General features: G+C 39.3%; 1 protein-coding gene across 3 annotated transcripts in view, besides 1 other annotated feature; it reads right to left on the bottom strand.

Moving 5' to 3' along the window:
* Nucleotides 1-27,495, bottom strand: part of PHKB (phosphorylase kinase regulatory subunit beta) — a 240,225-nt gene that overhangs the window by 55,762 nt on the left and 156,968 nt on the right. For all 3 annotated transcript variants that reach the window (NM_001363837.1, NM_001031835.3, NM_000293.3), the window contains 2 exons: nucleotides 4,672-4,727; nucleotides 4,070-4,163 (listed from right to left, as the gene is read on the bottom strand). In NM_001363837.1, the coding sequence (NP_001350766.1) occupies nucleotides 4,070-4,163; nucleotides 4,672-4,727 (150 nt within the window). The remainder of the gene's footprint in view (nucleotides 1-4,069; nucleotides 4,164-4,671; nucleotides 4,728-27,495) is intronic.
* Nucleotides 19,121-19,622: an enhancer, noted in NCBI's record as "NANOG hESC enhancer chr16:47660051-47660552 (GRCh37/hg19 assembly coordinates)". NCBI's record gives its function as "activates a minimal SCP1, AML or CMV promoter by ChIP-STARR-seq in naive H9 embryonic stem cells {active_cell/tissue: H9 hESC(naive)}" and the evidence as "EXISTENCE:reporter gene assay evidence [ECO:0000049][PMID:30033119]".

Raw genomic sequence — 27,495 nt, 5'->3', positions numbered from 1 at the left:
GGCTGCATAAATGTCTTCTTTTGAGAAGTGTCTGTTCATGTCCTTCGCCCACTTTTTGAAAGAGCCCGCATCGCCAAGTCAATCCTAAGCCAAAAGAACAAAGCTGGAGGCATCACACTACCTGACTTCAAACTATACTACAAGGCTACAGTAACCAAAACAGCACGGTACTGGTACCAAAACAGAGATATAGATCAATGGAACAGAACAGAGCCCTCAGAAATAATGCCGCATATCTACAACTATCTGATCTTTGACAAACCTGAGAAAAACAAGCAATGGGGAAAGGATTCCCTATTTAATAAATGGTGCTGGGAAAACTGGCTAGCCATATGTAGAAAGCTGAAACTGGATCCCTTCCTTACACCTTATACAAAAATCAATTCAAGATGGATTAAAGATTTAAACGTTAGACCTAAAACCATAAAAACCCTAGAAGAAAACCTAGGCATTACCATTCAGGACATAGGCGTGGGCAAGGACTTCATGTCCAAAACACCAAAAGCAATGGCAACAAAAGCCAAAATTGACAAATGGGATCTAATTAAACTAAAGAGCTTCTGCACAGCAAAAGAAACTACCATCAGAGTGAACAGGCAACCTACAACATGGGAGAAAATTTTCGCAACCTACTCATCTGACAAAGGGTTAATATCCAGAATCTACAATGAACTCAAACTTTTTTCATTTGTTCCCTTTTCTATGGGGAATTTGGCATTCTTTTTTATTTCAAGAAATCTTGGTATATTAAGAGTATTGCCCCTTAAATCAAATACTTTGCCCAGTTTGCTCCTCTTCAGTGTTGTTATGAAATGTGAGAATGACTGCACAGTAGGTGGAATCTCATTTCAACATGTGGTATTTCAATATAAACATTTTTCTACTAGAAAATTTCACAAGCACCTTTGATATGCCAGGCTGTTTGCTATATTTAGTTATACAGTATTTGTCAATCATTTCCTCAATGGCTTTTTGGCACTGGTATCATTCTAAAAATGGACTTCCCTTCCCAACAGCTAAAACATATTCTCTTATTTTTTTATTCTAGTGCTTTTATATTTAAATAATTTTAAAAGTTTTCAATTTTTGATCTGTCTGCAATTTATTTTTACATTTAATGACAGAAATACATCTAACCTATATTTTCCTAAATGGAAAATCAAACCAACTATCTCTACACAATCTACTGATTGTGATTTGGACCGATTTCAAATAACAACTTCATTGTATACAAAATTAGTGGTGTTGCCAGAGCTCTCTGTTCACTGACATAGTGCACACATCTATGTGAGAGTTGGGTTTGTATCTCTTTCTCCTTTCGAATTGTACATTCCTGTAGAACAGCAGCCCAAGTTGGCACTGTGCCTAGTATGTAGCTGGTGCTCAGGAAATACTTGATAGATGAATGAGGGAGCAACTGAATGTTCTCCTGAGCCACACATGCTGTGAATATTGATTCTGGAATAGCAGTGGTTTTAGACAAAGTCAACTGGCCAGAAACAGTGCTTTGTAAGCATTATTTTGCATAGCTGCACTGAAACCATAGCACATAACACTAGATGCAGCCCCCTTTCCCTCATATATTAATAGTTTCAAATTTTCAGAAATAAATGTATGGTAAAATGTGTTGATCTAGGTGGGCGTCCTTTAAATACTACTCTTTATTACAGTAAAAGGATTCTCAACTTTCTGAACCATGGTATGGCAGGTCTGTGACAATTTATTTAGTGCTCCCCACATTCCAGGGTGCATATAACACTGCCCCCATGTTGTACACATTCATACCATTTAGTGCACCGAAAGACACAGTAGTGACCAAACTACCCGGAAATACATAGAGCAGAAACTACCCGGAAATACATAGAGCAGAATTCTGTATTCAGATCCCCATGAAGCAAATCACACTACAGTCATCACATCATGAATATTAACCACATGCTGTGTAAAAGCCCTGCTCTCAGCTGTCTGCCCTCACATCCTCTTCAGTGGGCTGAAGGAGGGAGTGGCTTCTCAGAAGAAAGGGAGCAACCGCTGGCATAAGAATATGTGCATCAGCTAAGATTTGAGGGAACACCTTTACTTTTAAAAGGCAGACTTATAAGGAGCAGAATACTAGGCAATATATCTTAGTATATATCCAAAGAGCAGCTACTTAGGAACACAGAGGCTACAGCTACAACCAAAAAACAATCTTCCATCTCAACACATGCACAGGAAGGTTGGCTCTTGCTCACAAGTCTGTCTTTTCAGCCACACTACACCAAAATTGCAAGTCATTTGTTAACACCATTTTTAAAACAAGATGTAAAATAAGCCAGGAACTGTTGTAAGTCTTTACTTGCTCTGTAACAGAATGCCTTCTACTGCCTCTGATTCACAAGCACTTTGTATGAACATCTATTATAACAGTTATCAAAGTGAACTGTAATTCACTGTTTTTTTCCTGTCAAACCAATAAACCCAGAGGTCACTGAGAACAGGGACAAAGTCATTTCATATGAGTGTCCTACACAGTGCTCTGCATATAGCATGTGTTTGTTGCTGAATGAATGAATACCACATTCAAGTCATTTGCTCACCATGTTAGCCTTTTAAATCTTGACTGCATGTTGTCTGGTAGGATATAAACTCACCTACTATTAAAATAAGTTGCTAATATTAATTAGACTAGAAAAAACAGATTTGGGTTAATTTGTTTTAAGAGTATGTTTATCAAAGAATAAGCTTTGTTGGCGTTCTCTAGAGCTTTCAGCAGGAGAGCATAAAAGTGTATTAGCAGCCGACAGCCTGCAGCTGAATACTAAGAGCACAGCATAAGAGCCTTAGATTTTGGCATCCTTCTCTCTCCCTCCACGTTGCCTCCGCTCCTTGCCTTGTACCATTATGTACATCTGGGCGTGAGTTTAAATTGTTACCTACTCTAGGGATCCTTGTATTTTCAGCTTTATCTCTTGGCAGGGTAGTGGTGGTTAAATTTATTGGAGAAGGTATAAGGACTCTCCAAGAGCTGGTGCTCTTGGTGACCTGACACCCAGGTTCTGGTTTGTGTTGCCTAATGTCAAGATCCAGGCCTGATACTGGAGTCCTGCATTTTCCCATGTAACATGTACCTCTCTTCTCTAAGCCTTCATTTTTCTGTTATAGCAACAAGACTTTGACTACAACCATTTATATTTAACCTAATAAACTTAATCATGTCCACTTGAGATACACTGTTACAAAGACTTCTACTAAACACTGAGCAGTTTGTTCTTATGTTGTTTTTAACAATTACTAAATAAAAATGGCAGTGTATAAATAAGTAGTGGGTAGGAGTCAACAATGTCGTGTCTCTAACGAGCAAGAACATTCACAAGCATAGGCAATAATGGATCCATCTGCAGAGCAGTGCGTGCAAAAGGCCTCAAATGTCACCTTTTAATTCCATCCCAAATAGGTATTGAACTACATCAATGATAAATACAGATGTTACTTTTACTTTATAATTGCTTTGAGACCCAGCAAACCAAAGAGGTTGAAATTACTTCAGACACCAAACAGTAAGGCAAGAGAAAAAAAGGAAAGTAGTGAATATCAAAAATATTTAGGTATGAGTACGTTTTTTTTAAACAAACCTTCTCACACCTAAATATTTTTTGATAATCAAAGGCGAAAAAATCAAAGATAAAAGGATGAAAAAACCAAATCAAAATGTAAGAATACATTTTGATAAGAGGAAAAAAATCAAATCAAAATATAAGAATAATTTTATTCCTATTAAAATTAAGACTAACTTGTTATTTAACTGCTCAGCCTAGGTTAGTAATAGAGTTTAGAAAGAAGTAGGAATCAACAAGACCTATAAACATAACGTACACACACATGCACACACACATATACACAGTGCAAAGTTTTTTTTTTAGTAACAATGTCCATTAAAGTGGACTTCTCAATTTAATTAGAAGCTTTTGGATTACTGGTCCTATATCAGAATCAGATTTTAACTGTGTGACTTGTCTGTAAACTAAGTCCAACCATCAAGCTCTAGTACCTCTACAAAGTAAGGAAAGTAAAAGGCAGAATCACTTACTTTCACAAGCTCCTGCTGAGGCCATATCTGAATGGGTTCTACTTGTTGAGGAGTTTGAGTTTGAATACCATATGTGTTCAGAAAAACTTGAAGTCTAAAGATCATAGGGATAAAAAGAGACGTTTTAAGACAATGCATTTACAGTTTAGGAAGCAGTGAAGGAGGAGGATAAAAGGGAACATGTTAACTTGGAGGGCATTATTAATTTGTTAGTATTAGCAATTTGCCATCTGCACTAGATTTCAGAGGCCCATATGGATCCTCCATGAAGCATCACATGGAAACATTAGGGGCTGACAGGGAGGGAAAGCACTGATTTTGGTAATCCCCATGTGTTTGCATGAATTTCTCGAAACTACAACCCAGGCAACACTGGCACTGGTCAGTCTTTAATATTCACCTCAACTAAAACAAAATTATTTTTAAACACGAAAAGAATATGCTGGTCATTTAAAGTGATATTAATGATATCCTTGAAAGCCTGTAAAGGAGTTTCTGAAGTTAATCTCTTCTACCATAATCAATATTGTAAACATAAAGCAATCATTTCCCCTCCCCTCCCCTCCCCACAAAAAAACACACCACCCACTTGGATTTCATACCTTTGGCTTTCTGCTATAAGTGCCACATGAACTACCAAGTCATTTTCCAGTGGGCCCTGTAATGCAGAATAAGGGAGGGGGAAAACATTTTAAAAGATCTGGTCATCATCAGCTACAATGAGAAACAAGGACAATATTAACCATCTCTAAGCAGTTCATTAAAATGATGGACACCAGCTGGCTCTCAGCGGCCACCTTTCTTTCCTTGCTCGCCACTGCCTACTAATCAATTTGATGATATAGACAGAGTAATGGAACACAAAGGAATGGAAAGCCATAAACCTCATCACTACCACAGGGGCTAGCCTGTCAGGGCTATTTTGAATGATGCATAAGAGCAGTTTGGGGACCGAGAGTCATTTTCCATCATTTAACTCTAAAGGGAAGAGGAGGAACTAAAAATAAAAACCCAATTTATGTGTTCTCTGTAAAAAAAAAATGATAGTTAAAATTGTTCATTTGACATCTTAACCACATATAAGGTTATTCCCTTTCTTGTTAACCAGTTTTCCTTTGGCACCTTATACATCAAAATAACTTTATTCTAATATATAATTCTTATAATAGAGCATGAACTACCCAGTTGACTATGTAATTACATTATATTCATTAAATGCAAGCTGTTGGACTTAATAGTTCTAATCAAAGACAGTGTTGGATATTTGCTACTCATTTTTTGTGTGATAAAGATTCGCTATAACATGTATTATACATTGTTAAATTGAACCCAATTTTGAAACCTGTATATAATTAACAGAGAACATTAAGAAGCACCAATAAATTACAGTATTAGGGAGCTCTGAAAATACTGATCAAACATAACTCTTTTATAGTAATGGATCCAACAGTCCCAATAATATGCTGTAAAATATTTGATTTATCATCAATCAGTTCCTCTCTATGGTATTCAATATAACACTGAAATTTATGTATGATGGAAGGCAAGAAACACCAGCATACATATATCAGCAGTAAATACCATACAATCAAAGGGATGGTTCCCAGAATCATCGTCAAAGTGCCATTTCACGCAGACTTTCATGTGATTTAAATGAATGTGTAAGAGAAAATGTGATTTAACAATCCAACAAAAACAAATACCCATTTAAAATGTTATAAATTCTGTTTTTACTTGATAAAGACCTCACAATTAAATGTTTTCCAAAAGGGTGAGAAAAAACTTGTTTTCAAAGCCTCATCAAGATTTCTAACAAATGAAAAAATTAAGCCCTATTTCTCTTGGATGAGATCTAGTATTTACTGCTTTAAAAGGATGAGTAACCTTAGAATAGGCCATTATGTACAATCTTCAGGACAGTTGTGGGATTCTTAAATAAAAAGCAAATGAAAACATACAGAATACAGATGATATTTCAATAACAATAAATAAGGCAGTTTATAGATTGTAATTGGCAAACTGGAATCTTCTTTTTGAATCATAGGCCTGTTTAGGATATTGTTTCCACTTGTATGACAGAGTACTCAGATCTAAAATGGCCTCTATACATGTTGAATCATACTGAGCATCTAGTTAGGGGACTATCAGATGGCTGAAGAGCTCTTTTGTTGTAAAAACTAAGCATTTCAAATAGTCTGGTTCACAAACCATCTACCACAACGAGCTTGGACTTACAACTCCAGCCCAAGTGGGACCTTTTGCCCCATTCACCATTGAGAGAAAGAATTCAGCACGGGCAGCCCCACTCGTAAAACTCTCTTCCTTTCACTGCCAAAGTTGAAACTATCTGTTCTGTTTTTACCATTTTCTTCAAACCACCACCATTGATTTGTTTGTTTGTTTGTTTGTTTCAGACAGGTTTTCACTCTATTGCCCAGGCTGGAGTGTAGTGGAGTGGTGGAGTGATCACGGCTCACTGCAGCCTAGACATCCTGGGCTCAGGTGATCCTCCCACCTCAGCCTCCCAAGTAGCTGGGACTACAGGTGCACACCACCACACCTGGCTAATTTTTATATTTTTTGTAAAGACAGGTTTCACCATGTTGCCAAGACTGGTCTTGAACTCCTGGGCTCAAGCGATCTGCCCACACTGGCCTCCCAAAGTGTTGAGATTACAGGTGTGAGCCACTGCATCCAGCAAACCACCACCATTGTTGTCCAAAACCCATTAAGTCTCTCTGTTAATTTCCTAATAGTAACTAATACCTTCTTTTCTGAATGGCATTTTTCCTAACAATATTGTAATAATTTCTGCTTATAGGTTACAGACAAACACACACACACACGTATATACACATACTCAAGCCCTGTGTGGTACCAGTAATCTCCATTTTACAGGCATTTGTTGCTCATTCATCTGATCAAGTGGACACTAATCCACAAGACTCCATGTTAGAATACGAATATGACACAATGTCCCTCCTTGAGGAGTTCAGTCTACTAGGAGAGATGGATAACAGATAAGTTTTCACATGTGTGTTTATTATCACGTAAAAGTATTTTACTGGTATCTTTCTTTGGCAGATCTACCTCATTTAAAAAAAGTGACTGAAGGACATGATATACTGTGGATATACCATACTTTATTTTTAAAATGTTTATGTTGATGGATATTTAAGTGGTTTCCAATTTTTCATTTCTGCAGAGAATATAATAATTGTCCCTATCTCAGAGAACTACTGAAGACTTAGGGAGAGAACAAAGTGCTAAGCACAGTATTTCACACAAAAACACTCAATAAAGGATGTTAATTTTTGCTGTAGTTGCACATTTGCTTATTGCTATCTTCACACCAATCCTTGGACAGCGGCTCCCCTCTTCCTTGTCTAGATTTGCTATAATGCCTATGTTGCCCTAGATCCCATTGGCTTCCACCATTCTAAGACATTTGGATTATCTGTCATCCTATTTTTTTATATGGCTAGTTCTTCCCCAAATGATTCTGAACATCTTTTTAAAGACATCCTCAGGTGACTTAACACCTTCTTTAATGCTATGGTCTGAATGTGCATGTTCCTCCTGAAATTCAGGTTGAAATTTTAGCCCCCAAGGTGATGGTATTGGCAGGGGATAAGGGGCTGGGGAATGGGGAGGGGTGCTTTGGGAGGTAATTAGGTCATGAGGGCGGAACCCTCATGAGCAGGATTGGTATCCTTATAAAAGAGGCCCTGCACCCTTTCCATCATGTGAGGACACAGGGAGAAGGCACCATTTATGAACCAGAGAGAAGGCCCACACCAGACACTCAATCTACCAGCACCTTGATCTTGGATCACCCAGCTTTTAGAACTGCGAGAAATAAATTTCTGATGTTGATATGCCACCCAGTTTATGGTATTTTGTTATAGCAACCTGAACAAACTAAGACACTTAGCTACTACCCATTTTTTTCCTTTCATTTCTCAAATATAAGACTATAACTATGTCCTTACCTTTCTTGCCTCTGTACTTCTGCCCTCTACAATCTATCCTGCCCTGTCTTTGGAGATACATAATCCTAACACAAGTCTATGGTCACATATTCATTCTATTCATTCTCTCTTTCTCAAATCTCATCCACTCTAGTAGCTTTAAGCTATTATCTCTAAGTGTCATGGGATCCTTGGGGTGTTGCTTTGCCAGCCAGAAACCTCTGTGGCTGGTGGAGCCTTTTACCTGAATATTGCCCACACCTACTGGGCTCGTTCCACCCACTTGGCCTGTAGGCTGTGCTCAGCTTGCACTACCAGCCTGGATCCCACACTTGCCGAGGGTGAGCCAGGTGTTGGGTGGGGGGTGCGTGTTTCAGCCTTGTTTGTGTTACAGCTCTTTCAGTCCTGCCATTTGGTGAGTCCCAAGTTCTTGTCCCATGTCCAGAAGAGTGAGGTACACAGACAACTGGAGGGTGAGCAAGGCGGAGAGGAGCTTTATTGAGTGACATAATAGCTCCCAGGAGACCCAAAGTGGGTAGCTACTTTTTGCAGGCAGGCCATTCCGATGAGTGTCCAGCTCTCAGCTGAGAGGAGACCCGCAGTGGGAGCTCCTTTCTGCAGGCAGCTCATCCCAATGAGTCAAGGAGACCTGAAGACCTGAAGTGGGTAACTCTTTCCTGCAGCTGGTAGTCCCTACATCTGTCCAAGTCTGGCTGAGTCTGGTGGTTTTTATGGGCTCAGAAGGGAGGAAGCGCATGCTGATCGGTCCATGGGCGGCCATGGGTGGGCCCGGAAAAAGCACAGTTTCTCACTCTGGGCTGCAGACTCCACCCAGGGGTGGCAGCCCGGCCCCCAGGCTTCAGGTCATCCCTGGTTTGAAGGCAGGGTTTCACCAGGGACCCGCCCAGGAGCCTGTTTTCCTCCTGCCATCATCAACATGCTGTCCATGGTGCCCAGGCTGTTTGTGCCAAGGGATACCTGCAGGCCCACAACAAGCTGCCCTTAGCCCCACCGGCCTCCCTCCTGTGCTCATCGGCGCTCAAAGCCCAGAGGGGGCTGAGGCAGCAGGGGGATGGCATGTCAACACTGCCCTGAGCGTGCGCACACCCAGCTGTGTTGCATCAGCACCCAGGCTCAGTCACAACTTTGTTCCGTACTGCTGCAGGTGCTGGGAGTGGGGAATGGGAGCAGGCACTTCTGAACCTGTGGGGACCGGGGGCTTCCCAGGCCCCCAAGAGTGCAGTGATGCCTGGGTCTGGAGCTGCGGCTGGGCAGCTGCAGCTGCACCTGAGAGCATGGGGCCCCTGCCCCACCAACTCAGTAGGGAGTGGGGCTCCTGCCTCCTCCTGGCCCCCTCTGGCTCCATGAAGTGTGCAGCCCTGGCCACACTTCCCCTGCTGCAGCTGGTGTCCCCACAGTGGCTGCCCTAGACAGGTTGCCACTGCTATTATAAGCAGATGCTTCCATGTTTATATTTCTGGTCTTGACCTTTCTCTTAAGTTCTAGTTCCCACATTTTAAACTGTTTTCTGGACATTTTCTCTTGGCTATTTCCAAAGTTAATAGATTGAAAACTCAACTCCTCATCATCAACCCCACCTCCATCCCAAACAGGTTCTTATCCTTTAACCCTCAATTAATGGGTCACTCTAGCTCAGAACCTCAGAATCATCTTTGATGCCTTTTACATAACCTCCATATGCAATTAGTCACCAGAATCCTGTTAGTCCTTCCTTCACACAGTATCTTGAATGTTGTTTTCTTTGCATTTCTATAGCAATATTCAGGATTTAAAAGTAGCAACAACAGCGAACACTTTATATAACTATACTCCACATGCCAGGAACTGCTTAAGTGCTTTATCAAACTATTATCCCATTTTACAGGTTTAAAAATGAGGCACAGAAAGTTTAAGCAATTTATCCAAGGACACAGACCTAGCGGAGCTAGAATTCAGACCCAGGCAGTCTGACTGCAGATTCTGTGCTCATAGTCACTCACTTATCCTGCCTCTCAAAGAGCAGAAAGCAGGCAGACTTTAGATTGAAAGATCTACCTACAAGTCCTATCTTGTCACTTCCTCCAGCAATGATCCTGCTCATCTGATAGGTGCCTTAGATTACTGTGGACAAAACTGACCTGATCTCCATCCTTAAATCTACTGACTCCCAAAGCATTCCTTATCTCTATAAGACCCCATATTATGAGCTCATTTGCTCTGGCCAAAAAATGTGTAAGTCATCCTAAATTCCTTTTTCCTTCAAACCCCATAACCAAAAACAGCTAAAAAACCAAAACAAAACAGTGACAAAAACTGAGAACACTTATTGAGAATCAGGTGGCTATATTAAATTATATACTCTTAAACACCCCTATTAGGTAGGTTACTATAATTATTCTCATCTACTGATGAGAAAACTGAGGCAAAGAGTGGTTAAAAAACTTATCCAACATCATACAGCTAATACATAAAGCTATTAAGTGGCAACATGGAGATTCAAACATGCGCAATCCAATCTACTTATCCATTATAGTATACTGTATGCCTCTGTGACGTGCTGCTAATTCACGAAGAACTCGTATTGGCTCTACCTCCAAAATATGTCTCAAACACACCACTTCTCTCCTTCTCCACTGCTAATACTACTCTACTTAAAGTAACCATGATCTTTTACTTGGTTAAGTAACTGGTCTACTTACCTCAGTCTTAAACCCCATCCCACCCATTCACAGCAGTCCATCCTGAAAACAGTAATTAAAAAGTGTAAATCAGATCATCTCACTACTACTCCACCCCACCCACACATGCACATGCTTATGAACACCCTGCCTAAAACTCTCCAGTAACTTCCTGTAAAATGATAACAAAACTGCTTATCAGGCCCAAGAGGCCCTCCATGATCTAGCTCTGGCATGCTTGCCTCTGCTTTCTTATTCTCCCTTCTCTTCTTCACCATGTTTTAGCCACCCTGGGTCCTCTCTGTCCCTTGAACATACCAACTATATTCCCATCAAGTGCACTGGTTACAGCTGTCTGGTGTGTTTTCTCCTCCAGGTTGCAGAATGAATGCTCTCTGGTCATACAGGTCTCAACCATCATCCCTGCCACATAGGCCTCCTCTCTCCACCATGGCCAAAGTTGTTCTCCTCAGGCATCTCCAACCCCAGTCTACCACTTTACCTTATTTTGTCTGCCTCATAGTACCTGTCCGATACAGAAATTATATCATTTATTGTTATTCATTCCCTTCAGAAAGTACCTCCCTGAGGGCAGGGAACTTGATCTAGCTGGTCTACTGCCACCTCCCCACACATGGAACATAGTAGGCATCCTTACTATTTGATGAATGACTGCCCATGCAAGTTTCTCAATTCTTTGCTTGTCTGTAAAATGGGAAAAATATTTACAGTGCCTACCACAAAAGGAGAGGATCAAACAAAAGAGGGCATGTAAAATATTTGCAAACTTTGATCTGTTACACAATGATATTTATACTATTATTTGCTGTGTGACTCACTATGTCACTTAACCTCAATAAGCTGCAGTTTCCTCATCTATAAATTGAGAATAATAAAAATAACTATTTCCTAGGGTTATGAGAATAATACATAATATATAAGCATTTAACACTGGCCTATAGTAAGTGTCCAAAAAAAATTAGCCATCTATCAATGCCAGCAACACAACCACAACCCTGGGTCACTGCAATAGGCTTCTTCAGCTTTCTGCTCCACACTTGCCTTTGCCCATTGTCTGCGATTTATGGTCAGGTTCATTTTCTTGTATCAATGATTTGCACAAAGGAGGTGGTCAAAAAATATTTCTTGAATGCATGAAGAAAAGAGACAGAGAAGAGTTAGTAAACAGATATAGTTATGCAATATTTAGGATATTACCTCTACCCCAAAACTAATGTTTCCCAAATAAAGCCCAAACTTCTCGAGGACTTTTACAGCTCAGGGACTACCTGCTGTTCCCTGTTGGTCTCCCATCTGTTTTAGAGTACTCCACTAAAAAACAGTTCACTCATGTCCATCTTATGTTTCTGTCCACTGTCCCTTTACGTTTGGACTGCTCTCTCCATTCCTTTATCTATCCAGATCCTGACTCGCTCTTTTAACCTAGTCTCCTCCCAAACTCCCCCAAACACCAGGGTATCCAAATATCTTTTGTCCCTACTAGGAATAGCTGGCACTGCCTGTATGAGACACTTGGCACGAGTCTTGGATCACCTCATGCCATGCCTTTGGAAGGGTTATTTAGCTTTTAGAATGTGTATGAGTGGTCTGTGAAACTACAGGGGCCCCTCATGCTTACTTTTCTCACTTAGGATGTAGGAACCACCTTGCACTAAAAGAAAAGCAATTGTTATTCATTTGACGGTTTGGAGGAGGAACTTTTTTTTTTAGTATTGCTGGTTACATTTATTAGCAATACACAAATCTTCCCTTGAGCATACCCAACAAATGTTTGCAAATATAAACAAGGATACTTTTAACAAAAGAAAATAATCAGTAAAATGTACACATTTATATACACTATAAAAGAGTGTACATGTCAGAGTAACAATATGGTTTAGGACCAAAACCCTGTAGTTAGAAATATTCTCATTCAAAATTTTCATTTCTATAAAGTCAGATTGTATTTTTCTAAGATTTTTTCATTGTAAAGAAAACCCCACATAACCTAAATTTAACATCTTAACCATTTTTAAGTGTACGGTGGAAGAGGAACTTTTATAGCATAACTTCTCTATAAGCTGGGCACTAACTATATTAATATTGCAACTCATCATGCTAAAAATTTAAAACTACGGTAATTAAGACACTGCATGTCTATCTGTCTAGATTCTAGTTTTTAAATTACTCAAATCAGGTCAAAGTAGTAAAGCCAGGATATTTGCAGCTGGGGGCTATAAATAAAACAGTGTAATACAACTTTCAAAGGGCACACAGAGAAAACTTAATGTGAATGTGCCCTAATAGTGTTTCTTTTCCTTGCTCTTTTTTTCTAATTTAATTTTTTCAACAGATAATTCATTCATAAGGCTCAAAAATTTAACAATTATGAAAAAGTTTTTGGTGACATGTCATTCCCATTTGGGGCCTTCATCCCCACAGTTCCCCTCCATCTAACAACCAATCACTGCTATGATTATTTATGCCTTGCTCTAGCATTTCCTCATGCCTACAACAGCAAATGCAAATATATATTATTTTCTTACATTTCTACACAAAAGTTACTCTCAGCACCTTTTTCTAGTTAATAATTGTATATCATGGAACTCTTTTCATATATTAACACATAGAACACGTCCTCATTTTCACTCTAACTGCTTGGTATTCCATTTTGTAGATGTACCATATGTACTAATGTCATCTTTACACCTTTTGATAATCAATTAAGGCTAGTCAACCTTTTACACTGAAATCTCTGGAAATGGTTATGGTTACACAGTGGCACCATTAAACATCAGGTTTTAATTCTGCTTATAAAAGTAGACTAAGCACTCAAACTAAATCATTCAGAGGCATTGCTACCACTGGATTATGTGGGTAACTGGAGGACTATTATAAGAAAAGATCAGTAGGTTTGGGTTTGGGGAGGGGGCAGTGAGAAGTGTCTGAGTCTTTTCTAGGAGGGTGACACAGAAAGAAGCATAGACATCCATTTACAACATATGGAAATACACGACAGCTTGTTGATAAGAGTTATCTCATGGGATTGCTGGGTCAAATGGTGTTGCTGACTCTAGATCCTTGAGGAATAGCCACACTGACTTCCTCAATGGTTGAACTAATTGTGGCACTGTTCACAATAGCAACCAACCCAAATGCCCATCAATGATGGACTGGATAAAGAAAATGTGGCACATATACACCACGGAATACCATACAGCCACAAAAAAGGATGAGTTCATGTCCCTTGCAGGGACATGGATAAAGCTGGAAACCATCATTCTCAGCAAACTAACAGAAGAACAGAAAACCAAACACTGCATGTTTTCATTCATAAGCGGGAGTTGAACAATGAGAACAAATGGACACAGAGAGGGGAACATCACACACTGGGGCCTGTCGGAGGGTGGGAGGCTAGCGGGGGGACAGCATTGGGAGAAATACCTAATGTAGATGACGGGTTGATAGGTGCAGCAAACCACCATGGCACATGCATACCAATGTAACAAACCTGCATATTCTGCACATGTACCCCAGAACTTAAAGTACAATAAAAAAAGAGTTATCTCATTATGTTCTTGCTTACATTTGTTTTGTAGTCTGGTTTGGAATGTTAAGGAATTAATACATCTTGACAGCTTGCTATGTGCCACGTGTTATTCAAGAGCTTTTTTGAGTATTCTCACAAGAACTCCCATTTTAAAGATGAGGAAACTGAGGTGACGAGCGGTTTAATAATTTGTCAAAGGTTACACATCTAGTCAGTGATAGAGTTTAACCTGACTGCACGTATGTCCAGGTCTGAAATCAATATGGCACATGTCACAGTACGTATTTCACAGATTATGTGCTGCTTGCTATAGCAGGCAGAGATCTCTAGAGAAACAGGAAAGAGAGAGAGGAAGGAAGAAGAAGAAAGAGATTTATCATATGGATTGGCTCACACAATTACGGAGGCAGGCAAGTCTCAGGATATGCAGGTGAGCTGGCAAGCTGGAGACCCAGGAGAGCTGACAGTTTAGTTTCAGTCTGAGTCCGAAGGCCTAAACCCAGGAAGGCAGACAGTGTCATTCCAGTCTGAAGACTGGCAGGCTCAGACCCAGGAGTAGCTGATGTTTCAGTTCAACTCCAAAGACAGGAAAAAAGCCCATGTCCCAGCTGGAAGGCAGTCTCACAGGCAGAATCCTCCTCTTCCTCAGCGGGGGTCAGCCTTGTTCTTTTCAGACTTTTAGCTGATTGGATGAGGCCCATTCCCATTAAGGAGGAAAATAAGCTTTACTCAGTCTACTGATTTAAATTTTAATTTCATCCAGAAACACTGTCACAGAAACACTCAGAATAGTGTTTGACCAAATAGCTGGGCAGCCTGTGGTCCAGACAAGTTGACATGTAAAATTAACAATCACATGGGTGCAGGAACATGCTACATTCATGGGGAGTAGAGTCTGCCAAATCTCACCAACAGTCTCTTCTTCAGACACCTGAGATCAGGTTTTAAGAAAACTCAATTCCAAGCATTGTTTACAAACCTATTTTCTTATCTGCTTTTTCTTTTTTTTTTTTGCGACAGTTTCCCTTCTGTCACCCAGGCTGGAGTGCAGCAGCGAAATCTCAGCTCACTGCAACCTCTGCCTCCCAGGTTCAAGTGATTCTCATGCCTCAGCCTCCCGAGTAGCTGGGATTACAGGCATGTGCCACCATGCCCGGCTAATTTTTGTATTTTTAGTAGAGACAAGGTTTCACCATGTTGGCCAGGCAGGTCTTGAACTCCTGACCTCAGGTGATCTGCCCACCTCGGCCTCCCAAAGTGCTACGATTACAGGCCTTATCTGCTTTTTGATAGAATATAATTCTTTAGTTCTTTTTTTTTATATACTTTAAGTTTTAGGGTACATGTGCACAATGTGCAGGTTAGTTACATATGTATACATGTGCCTTGCTGGTGCGCTACACCCACTAACTCATCATCTAGCATTAGGTATATCTCCCATTGCCATCCCCCCCTCCTCCCCCGACCCCACAACAGTCCCCAGAGTGTGATGTTCCCCTTCCTGTGTCCATGTGTTCTCATTGTTCAGTTCCCATCTATGAGTGAGAATATGCGGTGTTTGGTTTTTTGTTATTGCGATAGTTTACTGAGAATGATGATTTCCAATTTCATCCATGTCCCTACAAAGGACATGAACTCATCATTTTTTATGGCTGCATAGTATTCCATGGTGTATATGTGCCACATTTTCTTAATCCAGTCTGTCACTGTTGGACATCTGGGTTGGTTCCAAGTCTTTGCTATTGTGAATAATGCCGCAATAAACATACGTGTGCATATGACTTTATAGCAGCATGATTTATAATCCTTTGGGTATATACCCAGTAATGGGATGGCTGGGTCAAATGGTATTTCTAGTTCTAGATCCCTGAGGAATCGCCACACTGACTTCCACAATGGTTGAACTAGTTTACAGTCCCACCAACAGTGTAAAAGTGTTCCTATTTCTCCACATCCTCTCCAGCACCTGTTGTTTCCTGACTTTTTAATGATCACCATTCTAACTGGTGTGAGATGGTATCTCATTGTGGTTTTGATTTGCATTTCTCTGATGGCCAGTGATGATGACCATTTTTTCATGTGTTTTTTGGCTGCATAAATGTCTTCTTTTGAGAAGTGTCTGTTCATGTCCTTCGCCCACTTTTTGATGGGGTTGTTTGTTTTTTTCTTGTCAATTTGTTTGAGTTCATTGTAGATTCTGGATATTAGCCCTTTGTCAGATGAGTAGGTTGTGAAAATTTTCTCCCATTTTGTAGGTTGCCTGTTCACTCTGATGGTGGTTTCTTTTGCTGTGCAGAAGCTCTTTAGTTTAATTAGATCCCATTTGTCAATTTTGGCTTTTGTTGCCATTGCTTTTGGTGTTTTAGACATGCAGTCCTTGCCCATGCCTATGTCCTGAATGGTAATGCCCAGGTTTTCTTCTAGGGTTTTTATGGTTTTAGGTCTAACATTTAAGTCTTTAATCCATCTTGAATTGATTTTTGTATAAGGTGTAAGGTAGGGATCCAGTTTCAGCTTTCTACATATGGCTAGCCAGTTTTCCCAGCACCATTTATTAAATAGGGAATCCTTTCCCCATTGCTTGTTTTTCTCAGGTTTGTCAAAGATCAGATAGTTGTAGATATGCGGCATTATTTCTGAGGGCTCTGTTCTGTTCCATTGATCTATATCTCTGTTTTGGTACCAGTACCATGCTGTTTTGGTTACTGCAGCCTTGCAGTATAGTTTGAAGTCAGGTAGCGTGATGCCTCCAGCTTTGTTCTTTTGGCTTAGGATAGACTTGGCGATGCGGGCTCTTTTTTGGTTCCATGTGAACTTTAAATTCTTTAGTTCTTGATAAGCAAATATAAAAACGACTGCCTTTTCTGTTAAATCATATAGCATGTAAAGCTCATAATTCTAATTTTTGCAATTGTATTGAGCCCTAGTCTAAGTAGTTTTATTTTTATTTATTTATTTTTTTGAGACAGAGTTTTGCCCTGTCGCCCAGGCTGGAGCGCAGTGGAGCGATCTAGGCTCATTGCAAGCTCTGCCTGCCGGGTTCACGCCACTCTCCTGCCTCAGCCTCCCAAGTAGCTGGGACTGCAGGTGCCTGCCACCACGCCTGGCTAATTTTTTGTATTTTTAGTAGAGACGGGGTTTTGCCGTGTTAGCCAGGATGGTCTCGATCTCCTGACCTCATGATCCACCCGCCTCGGCCTCCCAAAGTGCTGGGATTACAGGCATGAGCCACCGCGCCCGGCCAGTAGTTTTATTTTTAATATGCCCTATATTGCATAAAATAATCTACTGTGTCTGGCTTACATAGGTCTTTTATTGAAAGAAAGGCAAGGGAGGAGGGAGAGAAGGAAAGAAAAAGGAGCCAACAAATAAATGCATCCTCCAGGCTGGTCTTGCTCAAGGGCAGTGTATTTGAAACATTCTATGCCTCTGCTTTGGGGGCCTTACAGAACACTCATTTATGCTCATTAGACTTCATCAGTAGGTCCTGCCAACATCCAGCATTTTTTCATTACACTCATTTTTCAGCAAAACCTCATTAGCTGAAGAAATCAGGCAGATGCTTTATACATCTCAATTCCAACTGGAAACACTGCACCCCCAGTATTTTTCCCATAGAAGCCAAGTAACAGGCTACAGTAGTTTGAACACAGCCATGTCCTGACTGAGACACACTGGCATCTTGTTCTGACATTTCCAACCAAGCCAAAGCAGCAACATGTGAAAATTAATAGGAAAGCAGAGGAAAGTTAAGTAGAAATATCAGAGGAATAACAATATCAAGCATGGTTAAAAAGCTAAACTTGGCTCAAGAGTCAACTTGGCCTGGGAGAAAATGGTCCTTTAGGCTCTGTGTATTTATATATTGGATTAGTGATTATATAAGCTTTCTATTTAAGAGGAAAACAAATGAATTTTTAAAAGTATTCCCAGACCTCAAACACATTGTTTCAAATGCCCAAATGAATAAATCAGGCAATGCTTTTTGACAGCAGTTCTTTCAATGACTGCGATTATAGTGGAAGAGAATACCGAACGCTTTGTCACAATGAATTGATTTGTAATTTGTAAAACTGTTTCACCCCTTTCTAAGTACTTGCTGTAACTGGTGTTTCTATATTTTTATCTTAAGGAAATGACAGTGCTAACAGTCTTGCATACTGCATAGAAACAATGCCAAAATGGCCACATGAACCCAGGTGGAGAAACTCTGACCTACGGTGTTCTCATAGCTTTAATCATGACAAAGGGGAAGAACAAATGACGAGAACGCCATAGAAACACAACAGGAAAGATCAACATCAGGAAAGATAAGTAAGATGAGGGTGAAACAGAGCAGGAAGAGGCAGAAAGGGGAGAACAGATTCCAAGAATCCAGTCATTTAACTCTCAGGTTTTTTGGTCATTTAGAAACACCTCAGGTGGTGGGTTACAAGCAAAGAAAGGTCCCTAGTGGTAAACCATAAGAAACCAGGTTTTAGAATCATGGGAGAAAAAGAAGCAAGTCCAGTAAACCGATGTGTTTTTAATTTTTCTCCTTCGGATGCTTGTACCAACGGGATCTGTTCCCTGGGATTTGAGTTGAAAATGTCAGAGATGGGAGGGGGCCATTTCTATCATTTGGCTGTAGGAGGGGTCTACGAGAGAGACTAGTGGCAGGACTCCATTTCAGCCAGAGCAGCACAACTATTTTATATGCTGAAATTCTACTTAAGATTTTGTCTGAAAATTGGCTTTCCTTGATAAAATCATAATCCACTTGATGGATGAGAAGACTGAGGCCCAGAGAGGGGAAATAGCCCAGGTCCCTTTACAAGTTAGTGGCAGTCCCAGAAGCAGAATCTCTGTTTCTGGACTGACTTGTTCTAGAGTTCTCTTCGCTAAGTCAGACTGCTGCATCTTACTGGCTGTACCATAAACTTTTCAGTTCACTAGAGAATTGCCAAGTGCAGCATTCCACTTAGGAGTGGAAATGAATGCAAAGGCCATATGTGCAGTTATTACAGTGTGAAAGCCACCTAAGAAGAGAGGCCTTGGAGGGGAAGGGCATGAAAACCTGCTCTACTTTCTTCTTTGGCACTTGATGCTCATCTAAATGACAAAAAGACTGGGCTGGAAAGATAATGCAAGGGCCAACTTGAGGCAAGATTTATCATCACTGGGTCAAACCCAACAACTACAGAGGCACCCAGCAGGCTCTAGAATCCAACAAGCCTTTAGCACCACAGAGCCATCTTCACTGAGTTGAGGCCAAACTGTTTCTAGTGCGGATTCACACAGGGGACCCAACTGCAGAGGAGATACTCCACCATCACTCTTTGCAAGTAAACCTAAGGGTTTTCTATATCAATGAGAGAATTTAACAGTTTTATACACTAGAAAGGTTTCTGCTAGTGAGGAACCCTTGAGAGTTTGCTGAGTTTTTCATGCATCCAGACTTAGTAAGCACTAGGATGGCAGAAAGATGAATGAAACATTTTCTCTATTCTTTATGAACTCACCATATAAGAGAGAAGACAACTACGTAAGGACTTCAGTAGGATATTAAATACGATGCTCTTAATGGGTACTTTGAGGGCAAGACAGGGAGCATCCAACTTAGCCTCAGGGAATTGACAAGGACTTTATAGAAAAGGTATCTGAGCTGTTCTCGAAGATAAAAACTTGCCATTAATGAATTGATTCAATTAATAGTGATTTTACTATGTGTCATTAAGACAATAAAGTCCTCTAATTAAACTTACATTTCAGTGAGAAAGATGATTAAATTTATATAAATAAACATAATAAAAGTAAAGGGTAATATATTAGAGTAACTGAAGACAGAGGCTACTTTAGATTGATGGTCAGAAAGTAACTCTTAGAGGGTGTCATTAAATCTGAGACTTAGAGACTAAAAGGAGTGTGCTAAGGTCTGGTAACAGGCACTTCAGGCAGAAGGAAGAGTGTGCAAAGGCCCTGAGGAGGAGAGACCCTGAAGTGCTGGAGAAACTAAGAGGAGACCAGTGTGTCTGGAGCATAACAGGCAAGCAAAAGAGTGACAAGAGATAAGGGTGGAGACAGCTAAGGCCCCACAGGGCCCTACAGGCAACAAGGCATTTGGCTTTCATCTAAGTGGAATGAAAAGCTACTTAAAAGGGTTTCAAACAAGGAAAAGACTCAATATAATCTACATTTCTACAACAATAGTAATAAACACATATATGGTACTTATATGGGCCAGGCCCTGCCTAAACACTTTACATACATATTAACTCACATGATGGTGGCTCTCTTGCTGCCATATAGAGATGACTTGCACGGGGCAGAGTAGACATATGGAGATTAGTTGGAGCCTGCAGTTGAGAGATAATGGTGACCTGGACTATAGTGAAGTGAAGAGGCGGGAAGAGGGAACTAGTGAAAATATTTGGGGACTATTTAGAAAACAGAATTCTGATAGGACTGGATTTAGAAGAGAAGAGGTGAGGCAGGCAGACAGGAATCAAAGATTAATTCTATGCTTTTACAGGGTTTAAAGGAGGAAGGAGTGTTCAATTGTGTTGAATGTCTTTGAAGTCAAATAGACTGGCATCTGAAAAGAGATCATTGGAGTTATCAAATTAGGAGGAGATTAATAACTTGTTGCATGTGGTTTTTGTAGAGTGACAGTGTAAGAAGCCAGACTGTGCATTACAAGGAGTGACTGAGAACTGAGGACATGAAGATGGTGCAAGCATTTTTCTAAGCTGTCTGAAAGGGAAGGAAAGAAGGGAAGTAAGACAGGCCCTTGAGAGAGGTGAATAGCTGCGGAGCACTTAAATACAGTCAGGGAAAGAAGTAAGTAGAGAGAAAGGTACAAAATATAGAGGAAAGACTGAATATCAATTGGAACAGCCAAAGGTAGAGGGAAAAAAGCTGGGTGAGTTAATGCCTGGGGATAGAGGTTTTTCTTAGTCTTCTGGGATTCAGAGGAAGAGTTCCAATTGTAATTAGAAGCAATGATCTTGGCATGTACTAGAACCCATTAGTCTAGTTTTAATTTTACTTTTATAAACCCTTCTGAGAAATTAAAGCTCCATCTCCCACTTTGCACAATTTTGACTTAAGTACAAGGAAGGGCTCATGTTCTGCTACATAGGGTTATTCATTCTTCTTTGCCATATTAAATTCATCTTCTTGGGCTGAATTTATAGTTTCTTCTGATTAATGATATGATTAGGAGCCATAATTAGTGTCCAGATACCTGACCATGTTACAGTGTCCCTTTCAATTCATCTTCATAAACCAGTTGGTTCTATAAACCACAGGATCCCATAAAAGATGTTTTTAAATAAGGTTGGGGAAACAATAAAGATGCTCACAGAAATAAATGAGGAGAACATTAAAATATAAATATTTGCTCAAAACTCATGGAGATTCGTAAAGTTTATGAAAATTATTCATGAAAATATACAAAAATTATAGGAATTATATGAATATGTAGCCTTCATTGAGCTTCTACAAAACATTTTCAAAAGGCAGGTTTCTTAGGCATTATATTCTGATATTTCTAATTCAATACCATTCTTAAGAAGTATAGGACACAACAGAATAATGTAATCTGAGAAGAAGAAATAAGCAATTAAGGTTTATCTATAACAAATCAAAACTGTCAGGCTGGGCGAGGTGGCTCACGCCTGTAATCCCAGTACTTTGGAAGGCTGAGGCGGGTGGATCACTTGAGATCAGGAGTTCGAGACCAACCTGGTCAACCTGGTGAAACTCCATCTCTATTAAAAATACAAAAACAAATTAACCAGGCATGATGGCAGGTCCCTGTAATCCCAGCTACTCAGGAAGCTGAGGCAGGAGAATCACATGAACCCGGGAGGCAGAGATTCCAGTGAGCCATTGCACTCCAGCCTGGGCAACAAGAGCAAGACTCCGTCTCAAGAAAAAAAAAAAAAAAAAAAAATCAAAACTGTCAATATATGGAGCTAATTAAAAAATTAGCTCCATTAAAAAATGGAACCAAAAAAAAAAAAACCAAGTTCAAAAGCCATTAAAACAATGGCTTCTGTCTATACAGTGATAGTCTTAATCACACAAAGGGATAAAAGAAATCTAACAGGTTAAATGCTAAACATTCAATTTCTTTCTAAGTTGAATACAGACTAAAAAATATATCCGAAATGTTGAAAATATAATGTTTTCCTCTAGACTTTTTAGGATTTTTTCTCATCTCTTTAATGAGAAAGAAATATTACTTATATAATAAATTATTGAAATAAAAAACAGCAATAATATTTATTTAGCTTGCATAATGTGTCAGACATTTGGTTAAGAGGTTTACATAAACTATCATTTAATCATAAACACAACCCTGAGTTAGGGATCATTATTCCCATTTAAAATATGACAAAAGTGGGGCTTAGAGAGATTAATTCAATTGTCCAAGGTCACACATTTAATAAGTGGAAGAGACAGGTTTTATAGCTAGGCCTGTATGAGATGCAAAGCCACTATACTATATTACTTCCTTAAAAACAAAAATTTATTACACATATATGCAGTGTTCATTGATCTTTAAGAAAGTAATTCATGCAAAATTCTATGCATTTGTATATTTAGAGGAGAAAGCATGAAACTCCCACTTCCTCATTAATTTGAAAAATGAGAGACCAAGTGTACTATATGTTTTTAGCTGAGATCTATATAAATATGTACATGATTTAGCAAACAAGTACTGACTTTCATCCTCAATTTGGAAACTTGCAGCACAGAAAATAAGCTCTTATGACTAAAAAGCATTCCTTTCATATTGGCCTTTTCTCCAAAGACTGTCAAAGTAGATCAATCCATTTTAATTGGCATATTAAATGGGCTAGTCTACTTCACAGATTCAAAGCTTGGGTGTCACTGAATGCGAAACTGAATTCTCTCAAGGGTGTGTCAATACACATGATCTGCTCTATCATAATAATTCTGCCATTAAAGTAAAATATTGCCTCAAGTAGCTGACCAAAAATACTTGTATTTTATTCACCTGCATGACAGCAAAAATACATGGAACTCTCCAAGGACCTCATGAGAGAAAAATCATTCCTCAAGAAAGTAGACACTCCCAAAGCCCAATCCTTTGTTTTAGAAGGGGGCAACTTGTCAGGATATAGATTATTAAACAAGGTGGAGCTAGAAGGCGTTAATTGATAGGTTTTCTTCAAAGATCACTAGACCTTTAAAAATGTGAATAGATTCAAAACAGGAAAAAACGTGAAGTAGGTAAATTTCAGGTTAAGTTCACAAATTTATTCATATTTATGAATAACTGAGATTTCTTTCCTTAGAGAAAAATGTCAGAAATATAGATTCATTAAAACAATACTAGATCATAATAATCCTTGTATATCTTTATTCTGGACCATAAATCTTGCTTTCTTACTTCTATTTTTCCTTCTTTTACATTTTAGCCATGAGTATAAGAAGTTTCCATCCTGTAGATGAAATATTTCATTATACATCATGCCTATTATTGAAACTTTTAATTTTAATAGGTTAAATGGGTTAATTAGAATGATGTTATTAAATGTGTTTAAGCTCATTTTTTTGACTTCCAATTCAACTTTTCTCAGTTCTGGATTTTTTTTATCAAGGCATTGAATTTTAATTGGCTCAGGTATAAATACCAATTGATAAGAGACTCTTCATTACCCTTCAAGACAGCAGACAGAATTACCTGAGGAGAAACTCTGTGCGGCTGTGGCATATTCAGGCTAGGCTCTCTCAGAAGCATCTTTGATGCCTTGACTATTTTATTCTGTTTTACTAAGATAATCATAAGAACTTCTATTCAGTACTCAAATTCACTCCCATGCTTGGGTTTTTGGTCCCACACAAACGCTTTATTTCTTTGCCAAGCTAGTGAAGTTGTTGTTGTTATTTTTTAATCTTTTAAGTAGAAATTATGTCTCAAACTGGTTAAACTATTTGAGAGCATTAGAACACACTGAGCCAGATAAAACTGAGCCACATGCATGATTTCCTTAAATCACCTTAAATATCCTTAAATCTTTTTAAAGACTAATAAATCTTTAAAAACTGAATAGATTTAGAACAAAACTTTAAAAAGGGAAATCGCTACAAGTCCATATTGTAGGAGTGCTATATAATGTATCTACCAAATTAGGAGGGGTTTATAACCTTTCTTGGATTGCAGTAAACTCAACTTCCTGAGCAGATGGTCTTCCACCATATAATTCCTTTTTAACTCCCTACAGTCTGGCGACTGGGCACACTACTCCACTAAAGTCACTTAAAGGTTACCAATAACCTAGATTATGGAAGCCAGCAACAGAAGCGCTGGAAGGGGATTTACGAATTAAACCCAGCCAAATAATTTTACAGATTAGAGAACTACACTCCAGAGATGCTAGGAGTCCTTCCCCAGATTATACTGCAGTGAATCACACAAGGTCTAAAGAACTAGTACCTGAATTTCTGCCAGTGCTTTGCTGCTCCTCCCAGCCAATGAGGTAGTCAGCCTTCCTGAACCAAGAAATCAAAATTCTTTACACTTTATACCATTTTAAACTTCTTGCTAGATTATACTGTCCTGCCCTTCCTAGAACATCTCTTTTTTTTTATATTTTTTATTTTTTTGAGACAGAGTCTCACTCTGTTGCCCAGGCTGAACTGCAGTGGCACAATCTTGGCTCACTGCAACCTCTGCCTCCTAGGTTCAAGCAATTCTCCTGCTTCAGCCTCCCGAGTAGCTGGGACTACAAGTACACGCCACCACACCTGGCTAATTTTTGTATTTTTAGTAGAGACGGGGTTTCACCATGTTGGCCAGGCTGGTCTTGAACTCCTGACCTCGTGATCCACTTGCCTCGGCCTCCCCAAGTGCTGGGATTACAGGCGTGAGCCACCATGCCCGGCCAGAACATCTCTTTACTCCAGCATCTGCATTACCTATACTGTGGGAAAGAATGAAGCCTGGAGCCTGGCCTTCCAAGAATTGTCTGCTCCCATAGGTTAATTTCCACCATGAACCATGTTCAATAGAATACAATCTTGCATCTTTTATTTATATTAACTACTGGGCACCTCAATTAATTGTCATGTCTGCATTGGAACTATCAAAATACAAGTAACAACAACTGCTAAGCCCAAGGTTGGATTCAGAAGCATGCAGTGTGCCTCCTGTGTTCTTAACCATTTTGCTAGGCAGAACATCCAACAATATGAAACCTTTCCTATTTGTACTCTTGAATATTGAAATAGCATTTTCATATCAGAATATTTTTTTCTATAATTCTTCCTTTGACACTAGAATGGCTTATTTATGTAAAAATTCTGCTGCATCCAACAACATCTATTTTGAGAAAAAACATCAATTTTTCTTAAATTGGTTTAAAAACAAAATGAAGGGAGAAAAAAGCAATTCCTGGCTGGCTATTGCCTGTTAAATATAATAGTTTCAGACAATATTCCAAAAACATTTAAAAAGGTATTAGGTGTATTTTCCTATTTAACCAGGAATCTTCTGTATTCTAATTAGTATAATACACATGTAAAAATAAGTCCATTTGCTATAGAACTCCAGAAACCCAACCCCTAGTTACTATAAATAGATGTTCTCTAAGGGTCACCTTATACCTAGTGGACAACTGTAACGCAAAATACAATAAATCAATAAAATGCATATGGCCAGCTGCTTGCAGTTTCTGCTGCAACCAGAGCTCTCCCAAGTTTGAATGAGCTGCAAAGGCTGGAAACAAACACTCTTCAAGAAACCATTATCTCACATTAGCATGGCAGAGGCGCTGCAGTATGAACAACGAAGGTATCATTCGTAGATAATCAGTGGGCACTAGAATTACCTAGGCAACAGAAGATGATGGGCCCTTTAACAGGAACAAGTTAGGGTGAATGGGGAGAGGGAGTAAACACCTCCTGAAAGCGTTTTCCTTTGGATAAGGAAGAAGAAAATCCCTACTAAAATTACTGTTATAGATTTGTGGACTTGGTTTCATCCTAGCATAACAGGGAAGAAGAAAGAAGGAAATAATTAACATGATGATATAATGAATCCCAGCATACATTTTGTACTGATGGGGCATCTTTGTGTTTAATTTTTCAGATCACTTTCACAGAACTCTCAGCATCCTAAGGCACCGGTGCAACTGTGTTCCTATGATGTGATATTCAGCCAGGCTGTTCAAGAACAAGCTATTTCTCCTGTTAACTCCTTCACACCATTACAAAAATCACTGCTTCCAAATGCTTGACATTCCCTCCTTCCTTTCATTCTTCAGTTAACGCCTTCATATTGGTTCTGTCACTTGACAACTGTGGGACCTTGGAGAGATTACTAAACCTCTCTGAGACTCACGTTGTCTACCTGTAAAATGGATATAATATTTGTCTCAGAAAAAAATGTTAAAATCAGATATAATGTGGGTAGAAGTGGCATGTACAGTGCCTATAAACAAAAGAAACACAATCAATAGTAGTTATCATTGTATCTATCACTTCTATTCTCTGGTCCTGTCAAATACCAAACTAGGCTAAGAGAAGGCAAGAGTAAGACACATTCTCTACTCTCAGGACCTCTTTGAGGAAGTCAGGCATGTAAACCAACAACTGCAATAGTGACAAGTGTTGTAACACAAAGTATGCAAAAGAAATCAGTCTTAATGGCACAGCTTCTAAACACATGACTTGTTTTCCGGGAGTAATTTATAGGATGGGATAATATGGTATTTTGTATAATTTATTTTCCCCAAATCAAATGTGACATAGAAAAGTGGGGGTAGAAAAGCAGACACTGTTTTTCTAAGAATAAAGTTTATAAGAATAAACACCTGTTTATAAGAATAAAGGATGGTCCAACGAACAGTTTGGGGTAAATTTTCTTTCAAATATGACTTTCTCAGACAACATAAATAAGTCTGGTGTTTAATTTACTTGGTTTGTATCTATTTGGGGACATCATAATTATTTAGTAAATATCTACTCTATTCATATATATCACAGTGTTCAGTTTATTCCCTAAGATCTGAAGAAACATTGAGTATAGAAGGAGAAAAAGACACTCAACAGAAATAACGAGGAAAGACTCAAGCACAGCAGGTGAGGCCTGGGCTCCTAGTTCCAGAGAGCAGAGTGCACATATGCTCTCAGTTCTCATCTCTCTTCAGACCCCAGAGAAAAGACCAGTTACAGATTTAAAATAAACAAAAAAGACTAAGCCAGAGCAATGAA

The sequence above is a fragment of the Homo sapiens genome, chromosome 16 (assembly GCF_000001405.40).
Source record: "Homo sapiens chromosome 16, GRCh38.p14 Primary Assembly".
Classification (NCBI taxonomy): domain Eukaryota; kingdom Metazoa; phylum Chordata; class Mammalia; order Primates; family Hominidae; genus Homo; species Homo sapiens.
The sequence above is the reverse complement of the archived record's forward strand: the minus strand, read 5'-3'. Positions and strand labels throughout refer to the sequence as shown.